At 50.3% G+C, this 13,777-nt stretch overlaps 1 long non-coding RNA gene across 1 annotated transcript, besides 1 other annotated feature; it reads right to left on the bottom strand.

Annotated features, from left to right (window-relative positions):
• Window positions 1-8,605: 8,605 nt before the first annotated feature.
• Window positions 8,606-11,630, bottom strand: LOC124903904 (uncharacterized). The gene is made up of 2 exons (XR_007065593.1): window positions 11,510-11,630; window positions 8,606-9,413 (listed from the first exon to the last, which is right to left on the bottom strand). It is a non-coding gene; the product is annotated as an uncharacterized LOC124903904 (long non-coding RNA).
• Window positions 11,750-12,267: an enhancer, noted in NCBI's record as "H3K27ac-H3K4me1 hESC enhancer chr17:6141245-6141762 (GRCh37/hg19 assembly coordinates)". NCBI's record gives its function as "activates a minimal SCP1, AML or CMV promoter by ChIP-STARR-seq in naive H9 embryonic stem cells {active_cell/tissue: H9 hESC(naive)}" and the evidence as "EXISTENCE:reporter gene assay evidence [ECO:0000049][PMID:30033119]".

The following is a 13,777-nucleotide window of genomic DNA, read 5'->3' as shown; positions in this document are numbered from 1 at the left end:
TCTTCCTTTAAATGTTTGCCACCTGTGTGTATGGGGCAGTGCAGCCTCCCAGGAACATAATCTCTGTGATTCGCCCCTTGCCTTGCCACCTCCCAGTTCAGGCAGTGCTCATTCTTGCCAGGAAGCTACAGTGGAAGGCCTCACGGTGGATGACAAGGGAAGTTCAGAAGGCCAAAGGGCCCGAAAGGTGGAATTCAGGATGCGATGGCTCTGGGGAGGGAGGCAGAGGGAGGATGACCTCTCCACAGGGAGCAGCAGGAAGAACTAAAAACTATAACTGATTTCTCCATCTGCACACATTTAATGAGCACCAGCTGTAACAAGTCACTGAGGGACAATGGGGACATGTGAACAAGATTAACAAGAGGAAAGAGCAGCATGCTGAGGGGGAAAGAGCTTTGAAAGTGGGATCAGAAGCTCTGGATTTGAGTCCCAACTCGACCATTTATTATCTGTGTGTCCTGGGGTAAGTCATTAAAATTCTCTGGGTTCTGCTTTCTTGTCAAATGAGTTGGTCTGTGTGAAAACTGTACAAATGATGAATTTCTGTGCAAACGTGAAGACAAGCTAGTAATAATATTTTAGGGAATGTTCTACATGTTGCAGACTATGTTTTTACCCATCATCTCATTTAGTCTTCCCAATGCCCCCAAGTGGAGATTATCATCATCCTCATTGAAGGTGAGAACACTGTGATACAAAGAGGGTGATGACTTGACTGAGGTGACCTCTGGCTACTCGTGGCAGAGCCTTCTGGAAGAACAGTCTCCTGAGTCTCACTCCTGCTCGCTCTTTCTTTCTTTCTCTTTCTCTTTCTCTCTTTCTTTCTTTCTTTCTTCCTTTCTTTCTTTCAACAGCGCCTCACTCTGTCGCCCAGGCTGGAGTGCAGTGGCTTGATCTCATCTCACTGCAACCTCCGCCTCCCGGGTTCAAGTGATTCTCCTGCTTCAGCCTCCCAAGTAGCTGGCACTACAGGCACGCACCATAACACACGGCTAATTTTTGTATTTTTAGGAGAGATGTGATTTCACCATGTTGGCCAGGCTGGTCTCGAACTCCTAACCTCAAGTGATCCACCTGCCTCAGCCTCCCAAAGTGCTGGGATGACAGGCATGAGTCACCGCGCCCGAACTCAGACCTGCACGCTTTCTACTCTATGAGCCGCTCTCCTACAGGGTGGTGATCAGCATCTGCTTATGCGGAAAGTCCTGGATGTTTGGCATTTAATAGACAAAGCAGCGCCTTCGTTTTCCATTTTTCATTGGGATGTTTTGTTGCTGGGCACATATGGTCTTCATTTCCAGTGCTAAATTCTGTGCAAAAGGGCATCACCAGGGGAAATAATTTGGCATGCCCGGGCCTCGGTTGCCCTAATAATTCTCATGGCCTCCTTCTCTGGGCTCGCTAGAGTAATCACAAGGCCTCTCTGAGACCACAAAGCTCACCTGCGGGGGTCACAGAGCTTTTGTAGGGTCACAGAGCCTCCGACAGGATAAAGAACTGCTTAAACCCAAACCCAGTGGCTCCCAGCTGATGGGAATTATAAAATCACTTACTCCACTTGTTTCCCCTTTCAGATAGGGAAACTGAGGCTCAGAGAGAAAAAGCTGCTTACCAAAACTCACCCAGCAACAAAAACCAGACCAGAACCCGGCCAGGACATACTTCACATCTCCCCACTGGATGGTCCCCTGGGCATCTTTGGTCACGATCACGACATAAAATCCTTGGAGGCAACTACAGCTTTGCAGTTCTCATGGTTTACATCAAGGGCAGGCACACCTTTTCTGTAACAGGTCAGACAGTAAATAATTTAGGTTTGCAGGCTATGCAATCTCTGTCACAAATACTCATCTTTGTCCTTGTCATGCAAAAAGAAGCCATAGTCAAAATGTAAATGATGGGTGGGTGTGGCTCTGTGTCAATAAAACTTTATTTACAAAGACGGGAAGTAGGCTGTCTTTGTAAACGAAGACAGACAGGCAGGCCATAGTTTGCTTATCCCTGGTTTAAAGATTAGGGTTTTTCCAGGGTCTGGTCTGGAGCATCTGAAAGCATCACCTTCTGCTTCCCCCTGTCTTAGGCCTTATCATGTCGGAATTGTCCATTTTCCTGTTTGCGTCCACAGCAAGGCTGGGAGCCCCTTGAAGGCAGAGGCTACACCTTGTTCACTGTTGTGTCCTGGGGTAGCACACTGGACCTGTTATGGAGCGCTTGCTCAGTAAAGCGTTGTTGAATAAGTGAACAAATGAATGAGTTCGTGAATTCCAGCGTGGGAATAAAAAGTCTAGAGGATTTAGAGTCCAGCCTTTTGGTCGAAAGAGGGGGAGGCTGGTGCGAGGTGACACTTGCCATGGAGAATCAGAAGGTCAGTTGGCTGAAAGTTCCTGCATCCAAAGCTCCTTGTTCCTGGCTTGTCTGGAGGGGAGTTGAGGCTGTGGTGCCATTTTTGATGCATTACGGCTGGGGAACAGGAAGCTTGATCCTGCCCTGACACCCACCCCTCCTGCCCGAGTGCTTCTGGAAGGAGCTATGCAGACAAGGAACACAACCAGAATGGAATTTAAAGCCTATTGTGCCACAAATATATATGTGTATGTGTATGTGTATGTATATGTGTGTGTGTACATATATGTATATGTGTGTGTATATATGTATGTGTGTGTGTGTATGTGCGTGTGTGTGTGTGTTTATATATGTATATGTGTTGGAACCCTAACCACTAGTACCTCAGAATGTGACTTTATTTGGAGATAGGGTCTTTATAAATGTTATCAAGTTAAAATGAGATTATTAGGGTGAGCCCTAATCTGGTATGACTGGTGTCTACCTACATGTTAAGGAGAGAGGCCTGGAACAGACCCATCCTTCATAGCCCTCAGACGGGACCAACCCAGATGACACCTAGACTGGAGACTTCTAGCCTCCAGAACTGTGAGATAAATGCATGTTGTTTAAGCCATGCGCTGTGGTGCTTTGACGCAGAAGCCCCAGCAAACTAATGCAAACCTTTGACTTGGAAAGGAGCAGCACAAGCAGCTCATATCCCGTGCCCTGAGCTGATGCAGAGATCTGGCAAAGTTGGAGCACACCACCAGGCTCGTATTGCTCTGCTGTGAAGGCATTTATTAGAAAGGAGTTTTCAAAGAGCTGTTGAAAAAGGAAAGGGTGGCTCCATCTCTGCATTCATCCATTGGCTCAATGAGCCTCTGTTGCTCTGCCCCAAGTCCTGAAACTTCATAGAGGGTGTCAGGGTTGGGTGAGCCCAGAGGCTGGGAGCCCAGGGAAAGGAGCTGAGGCAAGGACTTACTGAGATAATGTGAACTAGATGGGGGGACGGGCCGTGTGGATGGAGAGCACGGAATAAATGCGGGACCCATGTGATAGGAGGTCTGTCCCCTCTAACCCAGACCCTGGCACTCCCCTTCCTTCCCTTCATTCCTAATTAAATGGAGGTGGCACTGGCCTCATGTGTATTTCAGTCCCAGTTATATTAATCTTGCTGAGTTCCTAGGCCACGATGGCTCTATGAATCCTGCCTTTCCTGAGCTAATGGGGTGGCATAAATAACTCCAGGGGAAGCATGCGCCCTGGCAGCTCCTAAGTCAGGCTGGAGTTAATCAATCCTCTGCTTGGAGTGTAGCTGAAGGCTCAGATGTTAGGTCAGAGGTTGTGTCTGTCTATGGGCTAATTTCCTTCTAACAGATGCCACTCCAGAAAGTCTAGGTGCCTTCAGAAGAAGACAAAGTCTAGGTCAGAAGAAGGCAACAGTGGGAAGTTAAGAATCTGCCCTCTGGGGTGAGTGCGGTGGCTCACGCCCGTAATCCCAGCATGTTGGGAGGCTGAGGCAGGCGGATCATGAGGTCAGGAGTTTGAGACCAGCCTGGCCAACATGGTGAAACCCCGTCTCTACTAAAAACACAAAAATTAGCCAGGCGTAGTGGCGGGCGCCTGTAGTCCCAGCTACTCAGGAGGCTGAGGCAGGAGCATCGCTTGAACCCAAGAGGCAGAGGTTGCAGTGAGCTGAGATCACACCACTGAACTCCAGCCTGGGTGACAGAGCAAGACTCCATCAAAAAAAAAAAAAAAAATCTGCCCTCTGATGTTCTCCTTGGCTCAGAGGCAGATGGAAACTCAGCCAGCTCGTGAGTGAGTTAAGGTGGCTGACACTGCATCTGGTGGTTCCACCAGGCTCCTGGGAGAGGCTGCTTCATCCTCCCACTGCAGGCGGCAGAGGCCCTGTCAGAGGAGTGCTGCTCATCTGTCTGTTCTGTGCGTGTGGCCCTTCAGCCAATGGCTGACCTGCTCCAGCCCCATCAGAGCCTCCATCTCCTCCAAGAGATGGGATGCACAGGGTTTACAACATACTCCTGCAGCCAGACTGCTTTAGTTCAGACGCTGGCTTCATCTCTTACTTGCTCTGAGACTTTGAGCACGTTGCCTAGTCCTCGGATCCTCCACTTCTTCATTTGTAAGATAGGTGGGTAATAATGAGGACAACAATCTAGGCTGACCCTACCCAATGACAGGGCTTATTGTATGGACTTAATGAGCGACCTCATGTAAGGTCTTGGGGCAGGGCCTGGCACATCAGAAGTGCTCACTAAGTATTAGCTATTATTAGATCTCTATCCTCGGGGGACCTCATCTGTCCTGGTTTCTTGGGAAGCATCTGCAGCAGCTCATGGATGCCCTGGCCTTCCTTCCAGCATCCTAGGGGAAGGGCAGGGCTAAGAAGTAGGTGCACAGGGACCCCATTGCTGGGGCTCTGAGGCTCCTGCCAGCTTGACTGGGATTTTCCATGCCCCAGCATGGGCAAGGGGTCAACCTTCAGCTCCTCAGATGCTCTGCTGATGGTGGGCCACTGCCAGCCTGCACTGTGACAGGCAGTGGGCTGAGCCTTCTGGGCAGGGTCATCTCTCAAACTGCCTCCTGGGCTCCATGCTTCCAGGACTCTGAAGACAGTGGAGAGGGGGGTTCAAGCACCTCCTCACTGGTGCATAGAACTTTACAGTCTACAAAGCCTCTTTACCCCCTTTGGAGATCTTTTTTGAATCTCTCCAGAGCCCAGGGAGACTGGCATTTCACAGAGGAAGATGCTGAGACTTGCAGAGGGGGTGTGATTTGCCCGAGGGCACACAGCTAGGACAGTGAGACCTGTCTTGCAGCTGCCCAGCTTATTCAGCCTTCCCCGCTCTGGAGAGACTTGGCCCCAGGCTCTGACTCTTAACCAACAAGCCTCTCCCAGTGAGTGTTTTGGCTCCTCAGCCCCCGAGAGCTGATCTCAGGCTGTTCGCTGGGGACAGAGAGCAGGAGACCTCCTACAGGCTATGAAGGGGTGGACCCCATCACCCAGCAGCTCCAAATGGGAGCAGGAAGTCTGGTTCCAAGAGGCCCCATCACAGACTTATTTTCAGAAGTCATTGGGACAAACCCAACTCCCAGAGATGGAGGCTCAATTCATTAAGCTTAGATGATTAATTACAGGGCAATTAAATATTTGATTAAATTAATGCTAAGGTGTTTAAACATTGTTTTGCAAAGAATGTTTGCTCATTAATTAGAATGGCTAATGGCACGAACAAAGCAGGGATGGGGGCTCGGGGGAGACAAGGAAGCCTGGAACTCAACCCTTCTGAGGCTGTCCCCTGGAGAGGCAGGAGTCGTCTCTGCCTGCAGCTTCCCCACCTGACCTTGGCACCTCTGTGCTCTCATCTGCAAATGTGTCCAGGGAGAATGGAATCCTGGAAGGAGCGTCAGCCGGGCTGGGGGCAGGAAACATGAGACCTAGTCCTGACTCTGTCACTGACACCCTGATTGCCTTTGGAAGAGTCTCTGCCCTCTTGGTCTCAGGGTCTCAGTCCTCCCATCAGCACAATTGGTGAGAGTATCAACTCTCCAAAGTTTCTTCTGGGTCTGACCCTTGAGGAGTTTTGCCCAGTAAGGTCAACATTTTCATTGCTAATCAAAAAGGAGAAAATAGGGCAGAAGAATGTCTACACTGCTCCTGATCCTCACCTCTGTGGGTTAGATGGTGTCTTCTGCAAGGCCTCTCCCTCCAGGGGATGCCCAGCTCTGACTGAGCATCATGTGGCCTTCAAGCCTTGAGGGACCTTCAAGCCTATCTAGTTTGATGCATAAGCCCCCTCCCATCCCTCCTCCAGTGGTTGTCCATTTACTCATTAAGTAAACATGTAGGCAACTCCTGCTATCTATCACAGAGATATCTATCCTGCTATCTATGTCTCCTGCCCTCTATAACAGGGATGGAGGGGTGAATAGGATTGACAGTGTCTCTATCCTTGTGAGGTTAATGGTCCAGTAGGGGAAATTGACATTAAATAGATCATTCCCCAAGTTCTTCCGGAATGCGTACTACTTGTGTTGTCACACGCTTAGATGTCCAACAGAGGAATTGTCTCTATTTCTAGAAATAAATGTAATCTGTGACTCTGAGCCATTGGCCTGGTGCAGATGCCATATTCCAGTTTATTGTTGAAAGGGTCCTTTGCAAGAACAGCACCTCATCGACGCTCTTTGGCCACGGCACTGGGAGGCAGCAGGGCTGACAGTGAAGGGCTCAGCAGACAGCACAAATGCCCATGGGCCCACCCCATTCTTGAGTGGCAGCAGAAAGTGTTCCTTCCTAACATTGCTGCAGCCCTGGGTTTCAGGAGCTGGGGTTTCTGACAGTGAACAGTCACAGGCTTGTTGGCATCCCCATGGCCTGGGGCATGGAGATGCTGGATCAGAGAGACACAGCACAGTGCTTCCCCACCAAGAGGTGGTCATGAGGCTTGGCTACCCTACTGAGGAGTCAGACATGGTGGTAAGAACTGAGATAGGGTCTGAGTCAATGAGGAAATCATGGCTCTTCCTCCTCAGAGCAGTCTTGTGCCCTGCCTGGGCTGCAGCAGCAGGTGACAAGTGACAACAGCCACTCTATCAGCAGTGGCTGCCAGCAGAGGGGACCAAGTCCAGGTGGGGAACCTCCCCCTACTACCAACCGCTGATTGCTCAGCCATAGCAGTGGATCCTCTCCTTTTCCTGTGGGGTGGGCCAGGAGAGGCTGGGACCTGTTGGGAGGGTTGGGGAGAGCATTCACGAGGACTGAATTGTTGATCCTGGACTGAGTTGTGAAATCAATGAATGGAAAGGAAGAAAGTCCAGTATAGAATTAACTGGGTGTCGGGGAGGTGGGACAGGGAGGGAAGAAGCCGGGCAAGAGTCAGATCCCAAGTGAACTCCCGGCTTCTTGGGCTGATCCTGTGAGGATCTCTGGCACATAAATTACGCACAGTTTGCCCTTGCTCCACAGTTGGGCATTCTTATTCCTGCACCAGGGATTGGCTATGGGCTGCCCTGACAAGTGCCAGAAATTTTTGGGCACTGTCTCTTCCTATGCGGGCAGGGCTGTGGCTTCAGTAGCCAGAGAGCGGGTCTCAAGAGTCACAGGTGCAGGTGATTGAAGAAAAAAGCACAGAGAAAGGAGCTGGGGAGGATGCGCTGTGCATAAAGAGGCCTGATAGGTCCCGGCAGAGCTTTAACAATGACCCACCCTCCGGTCCATTTCAGCCCTCTACAAATCCCAGCTTCATCTCTCCCGTTCATCCTGAGCTCATTCGATTCCACTTGGTGTGAAGGGGAAGCATAGCCTAGAGGTTGAGTCTTTGGTCCTTTAAAAGCAGAAGGGGTTATTATTATTTTGTCTCTGGACTCCCATACCCCCAGCACAGGATCAGGCACTATACACAGCTGGTTCTCAATCAAAGTCACCTTCTGTCTGTTAAATTGCACAGCTTGGATGACCCTGGAGCCTTGGCTGATGTGGTGGGTGCTAGTGTTTTGCTACCATTGCAGTCTAGGCGAGGGATTCCCCAACAGGCTTGTTCCAGGGCACTGCTCTGCAGAGGGTGACAGCTGGGATTTGTCCCCTGAGCCAGAAGGGCTCCAGTGCTGGCCCAGAGCTGTGTCTCACATTTTATAAAAGGCTGGCCTTGTGGCCCAGGGCCAGTGAGGCCCGCCAGCTGGCCTCTGGCCTGCATGTCCCGTTGGAGTGCCCAGGTGCCCAGAATGGGGGCTTCTCCAGGCAAGGCAGCACTCCTGCCTCTTGCTAAGCCCTGTGCTGCAGTTGCCAATGGGCGTTAGGCACAGGGGTGGCTGAGAGATGCTGTGGTCTGCAGCCATCCCAGCTCCTGAGAGAGGGGTCTGCACGTGGCCAGGAGGCTTGAAGCTGTGGATGAGGACCCCTGCCCTGTTGTCCTTCATGCATGACAAGGCCTGCTGCAGGAGCCGCTTGTCCTGTCTCATTAATACCCTGACTTCACTCTCCGGTGGCCTCTGTTCTTCAGGCCCACTAAGAACAGAGGTAGTCAGAGGGGGTCCCTCCCTTAAGAGACTCTACCAGGGTGGGTGGGCAGAGACAGGCGTGTAAACCAGCAGGTGAAGCACCACCCTGAGTTCACTCGTTCGTTCGTTCATTCATTCATTCATTCATTCATTCATTCATTGAATGTTAAGTAGGTACTGGCAAGGCATGGCCTCACCTTCCTGGAATGTCTAGTGGGGGAGACAGAACAAACAAGCAAACAACCACAAATGCAAATGGAATGCAGATGCTTGTTAGCATTGTGAGGGGAGTCAACAGGGTGCTGGCTGGAGCAGCATAGGGAGACGCAGTTTACCCAGGGTCAGGGAGGGTCTCTCTGGGAAGATGACCTTTGGGAACTGACAGAAGGCAAGGGACCAAGTGGAAGGTCTGGAGCAGCCAGGGCTGAGGTCCTGGGAGGAGCTGGGTGTGATCCGGGGGCAGCAGTGGGCCAAGGAGGGTAGGAGCCAGGAGGAGATGGCCCTAAGGAGGTTGGGGAAACAGCCTGGGCAGCCCTGGGAGGGGCTTTGGATTGAATCCTGGGTGCAAGTGGAAGGCACTGGAGCATTTTATGCAAACTTCAGCTGATAAGTATAGATTTTGTCTTCTGGAAGGCATGTTGAAAATGGGCAGATGATGACAGGCATGCAAGTAGGAAGGTCAGTTAGGAGGCAATGGTAACAGTCCAGGTGGGAGACTCTGGTGGGTGGGGACAGCGAGAAGAAGAGAAGCACACAGGTTAAGTCCTTATTTTGGAATCACTGATGTGAGAGAAAAATCAAGATGACAGGAGCACTCCTAGGCTTCTGGTTTTGTGATGGGGTGCATGGCCGAGGCAGGTGTGAATCCATCATCCTGGAGAATAACCAGTTTAAGGTTACAAGTGAAGAGTTCCTTTCGGGTTGGGTGTGTCCATTAGATAAGCAAGTGGAAACATCAGGCCGACCTCAGGTACGTGAATTGGGAGCTCAGAAGGGTGACAACGTCCTTAGAGGGCCGTCAACATACAGATGCCCATCAAGACAATGGGGAGGGATGGGACCCCCTGCAGAGAGAAAGCAGAGAGGGCCCAGGACAAGGTGCAAAGAGTCAAACTTTGGAAGGGGAAAAGCAAGGAGACGAACGTGGCAGGAGAAAGGCCAGAGGACAGGGTGATGGCAGGTGAGGAGGAAAGTGTTTTCAGTAGGACAGAAACGCGCTAAATGCCATTGAGAGGAGGAGTTAGGTGTGCACCGAAGTGGCCACTGGATTTGAAAATATGGGTGTGACTTGCTGATCATGATGCCAAATAGAAAGGAAGACTGTTGCAATAGGGAGGACACTCTGAGCTCAGAAATCTGCAAGTGCCTCATGATCAAACAGAAGGGTATCTTTCACTGAGCAAAGCAGGAGCAAGCAGAGAGAGGCAGAATATTCCGAGGGGAAGCTGGACACACAAGAGCTCATGCCCAGTGGGTCTGGGAAATGTCCACTCTGGTCAATAATTCCCAGGAGAGGTTGGTTGGTGCGGGGTGATTTCTACTTTCTTGTGCATGCCCAGGCTTGGGGGAGAGCAGAGTTTAGAGGCCCACAGGCAAGAGAGAAGTCTGAGAAAAGTTTGGCCAAGCAAAGCAGAGGTCAGCGGTGGGCAACAGTGGACACATGGTCAAGGACAGATGCAGTTCCAGTGGAGGTGGGGGCAGAGCCAGACCAGGGTGGGTCAGAGGGTGAGTAGGAGGTGACGGAGTGAGGACTGCCAGGGTACAGCTATTTTAAGTTCTATTGTTGGGGTGAGGGGGGAGGCAGGGAGATGGGCTGGTGGCTAGAGGGAAAGGTGGGATTAAAGAATGATTTTTCTAAGGCGCGAGGCCAGGAGCGATGGCTCACGCCTGTAATCCCTGCACTTTGGGAGGCCGAGGTGGGCGGATCACGAGGTCAGGAGATCGAGACCATCTGGCCTATATGGTGAAACCCCATCTCTACTAAAAATACAAAAAATTAGCCGGGCGTGGTGGCACGCACCTGTAGTCCCAGCTACACGGGAGGCTGAGGCAGGAGAATCGCTTGAACCCGGGAGGCGGAGGTTGCAGTGAGCCGAGATCTTGCCATTGCACTCCAGCCTGGGCAACAAGAGTGAAATTCTGTCTCAAAAAAAAAAAAAAAAAAAGCGTCCCTTACAGCCTTCCAGGGTGGCTCACGTCTGTTTCCTCTTGACTCAGAATGAGTTCAGCTAGCTTCTTTCCTGCTTTCCAGCCCCTCCTCACCTGGCCTGGCAGATAAGCCCAACTTTCCCTCCAGGCAGAGCTTGCCCTTGGGTGCCTGGAGCTGGAGTTGGACCCAGAATCTTTTTCTTACATCCCACAGGCATTGGAACATGCACAAAACCTCCTGACTTCCCCTGAGCACGCTAGGAGTAGCGCAAACAAGCTGCCAAAACCAAGTTTTCACCCGTAGAACCAAAGCCCTCTGCCAAGGCAAGCCTAGGTGGCCCCCTCTCCTCTCCCCTCTGCCCACCCACCCACCGCTCTGCTCAGCATGTGGGTCACCAAGAGGATCAGAATGAACAATCCACTCTGTGAGAATTAAAAAAGCTGGGACAGCAAGGGATTCCCTGTCCCCCACCCAGCCTGCAGCAGCCCATGCAAATTCCCGCATGCCTGGAAGCTTCAAGTTATTTAAACAAATGCGCACTTAACTCCTTCAATTGCAGACATCTGAATTCTGTATTTCAAGCTTGAAAGGAGAACAGATTATCTTGCATGAAGACAGTGTGGTGTGGTAGGAAAGACTCAGATTTCAGGCAGGGCGCAGTGGCTCACACCTGTAATCTCAGCACTTTGGGAGGTTTAGGCAGGTGGATCACCTGAGGTGAGGAGTTCGAGACCAGCCTGACCAATATGGTGAAACCCTGTCTCTGCTAAAAACACAAAAATTAGCCGGGCGTGGTGGTGTGCGCCTGTAATCCCAGCTACTCAGGAGGCTGAGGCAGGAGAATCGCTTGAACCCGGAAGGCGGAGGTTGCAGTGAGCCGAGATTGCAGCACTGCACCCCAGCCTGGGTAACAGAGGGAGACTCTGTCTCATAAAAATAAAAAGACACAGATTTGGAATTCTATCGGCATTTACACTTTCTAGCTGCGTGAATTTTAGGCAGTTTACTCACCCTCCCTGTGCCTCCGTTTCCATTTGTAAGATGAGGATGTTAGGAAGAACCCCTCCCTACCTGCCTCATAGGTCTGACGCCGAAATCAGGTGAGTGTTTGTGGGGCTGCTTTAGAAACTGTGGCCCAAGGGATGATGGGAGCGAGAAGGTCACTGAGCTCCCCACGGGTGCTGCTCGCAGAGCGCCTGAACATCGCTTTTGCCGGAGGAGGCGCGGTGCTGTGCAGCGTGGGCTCTGTTTTCAGCTTGAATCCCACAGAAGCAGTAACTGTTCTGGCTAATTGGAGCAGAATAAAAGTCTCCCCCAGTGCCCCAGAAAGCAAGCATCCAGGAGAGAAAGCACCGACGGGGGCCGACTGCTGCGGGGTACACAGAGGAGGATGCATGGATCAGCCGGCAGGGAGAGCGGACAGCAAGCCCGGAGGGACCGGGGAAGGAGCTCCGCTGCTTTGCGGTGGCGGCTGTGGGGAGGATCTGGAAATGAATATCCAAAGAGTGTTTTACTTTGGCTCAGGTACTTAGGTCTCAGTTAACTATTAGTCAAAATCATCTAGTTCCCCTTTCAAAGTGAGGTTTCAATCATTGTCATTGAACCCTCCAGTCTTTTTTTTTTTTTTTTTTTTTTTTTTTGAGGCGGAGTCTCGCTCTGTCGCCCAGGCTGGAGTGCAGTGGCGCGATCTCGGCTCACTGCAAGCTCCGCCTCCCGGGTGAACCCTCCAGTCTTAGTAAGTTTTTAAAGTTTAATAGTCACTCTTGGAGAAGCTTGGGTATGGCCTATTTTGCTAATTCCAATTAAAACCTGGGTGCCCTGAAAAGGGTTCAACACAGGAAATTCTATCGAAAACACATCATTTATCTCCCTGTGTTTGCGGATCCTCCAGCAATAAGCGATGTTCACGCCTTTGAAAATGGAAACATACCTTCTGAAACGTTAATTTTGCCAAGTAAGGTGGGAGGTGGAATTGGAATACCTGGGTTGCAATTCCAGCTCTGTCACTAGGGGAGAATTTCATTATTCATTCCACATTCAATCCACAAAGGATTGTTGAAAAAAATGAAGGCCAGAATGGAGGATGTTAAACTCATCTTAATAATCACCCCAAATATAATTCGATAAAATGCAGTCATTAAAAAAATTATAACCTAAGAATTCAAGGATTTTTCAACAGGATAAAACATACCTATTTCAATGCAAAAATTGCACTGGTGAAACACCAGTAGCTTTAAAATTAGGAACAAAAAAGAAAGCCTGTTATCACACTGATAATTCATTAACAAGTTAAGGCTCGGCACCGTGGCTCACGCCTGTAATCCCAGCACTTTAGAAGGCTGAGGTGGATTGATCATCTGCGGTCAGGAGCTTGAGATCAGCCTGGCCAACATGGTAAAACCCCGTCTCTACTAAAAATACAAAAAAAAAGAAAAAAGATTAGCCAGGCATGGTGATGGGCACCTGTAATCCCAGCTACTTGGGAGGCTGAGGCAGGAGAATCACTTGAATCCGGGAGATGGAGGTTGCAGTGAGCTGCAATTGCGCCACTGCGTTCCAGCCTGGGTGACAAGAGTGAGACTCTCTCAAAACAAACAAACAAACAAAAACCAAGTTAACTTAAACCCTACCAAGTTCCTAAAAGGATTTAAGGTAGTGGTGCGATTTAATCTTATTTGGACATCCCAGTCAATTTAGTAAGGCAAGATAAAATAACTTGGGGGAAAAAAGGGACAACATGAGAACATTTGTATGGATAGTGAATACAAAAGAATCAGTACAAATTCACAAATTAAAGAGTTTAAGGGAGAGGACAAATGCAAACTACATACATAAAAATTGATAGTCCTGAACACCACACTAGCTAGAAAATATAATGGAAAAAAACCATTTACAACACAAAAAAGTGATCTAACATACTTAGGAACAAACATATGCCTGAACTTTTTTTTTTTTTTGAGACGGAGTCTCGCTCTGTGGCCCAGGCTGGAGTGCAGTGGCGCGATCTCAGCTCACTGCAAGCTTCACCTCCTGGGTTCATGCCATTCTCCTGCCTCAGCCTCCGGAGTATCTGGGACTACAGGGGCCCACCACCACGCCTGGCAAATTTTTTTATATTTTTAGTAGAGACGGGGTTTCACCGTGTTAGCCAGGATGGTCTCGATCTCCTGACCTCGTGATCCGCCCACCTCGGCCTCCCAAAGTGCTGGGATTACAGGCGTGAGCCACCGCGCCCGGCCGCCTGACCTTTATCAGGAAAGTTGCACATCCTAATAGAGT

The sequence above is a fragment of the Homo sapiens genome, chromosome 17, assembly GCF_000001405.40.
Source record: "Homo sapiens chromosome 17, GRCh38.p14 Primary Assembly".
Taxonomy (NCBI): domain Eukaryota; kingdom Metazoa; phylum Chordata; class Mammalia; order Primates; family Hominidae; genus Homo; species Homo sapiens.
Note: the sequence above shows the minus strand (reverse complement) of the source record. Positions and strands in the feature narration are given on the sequence as shown.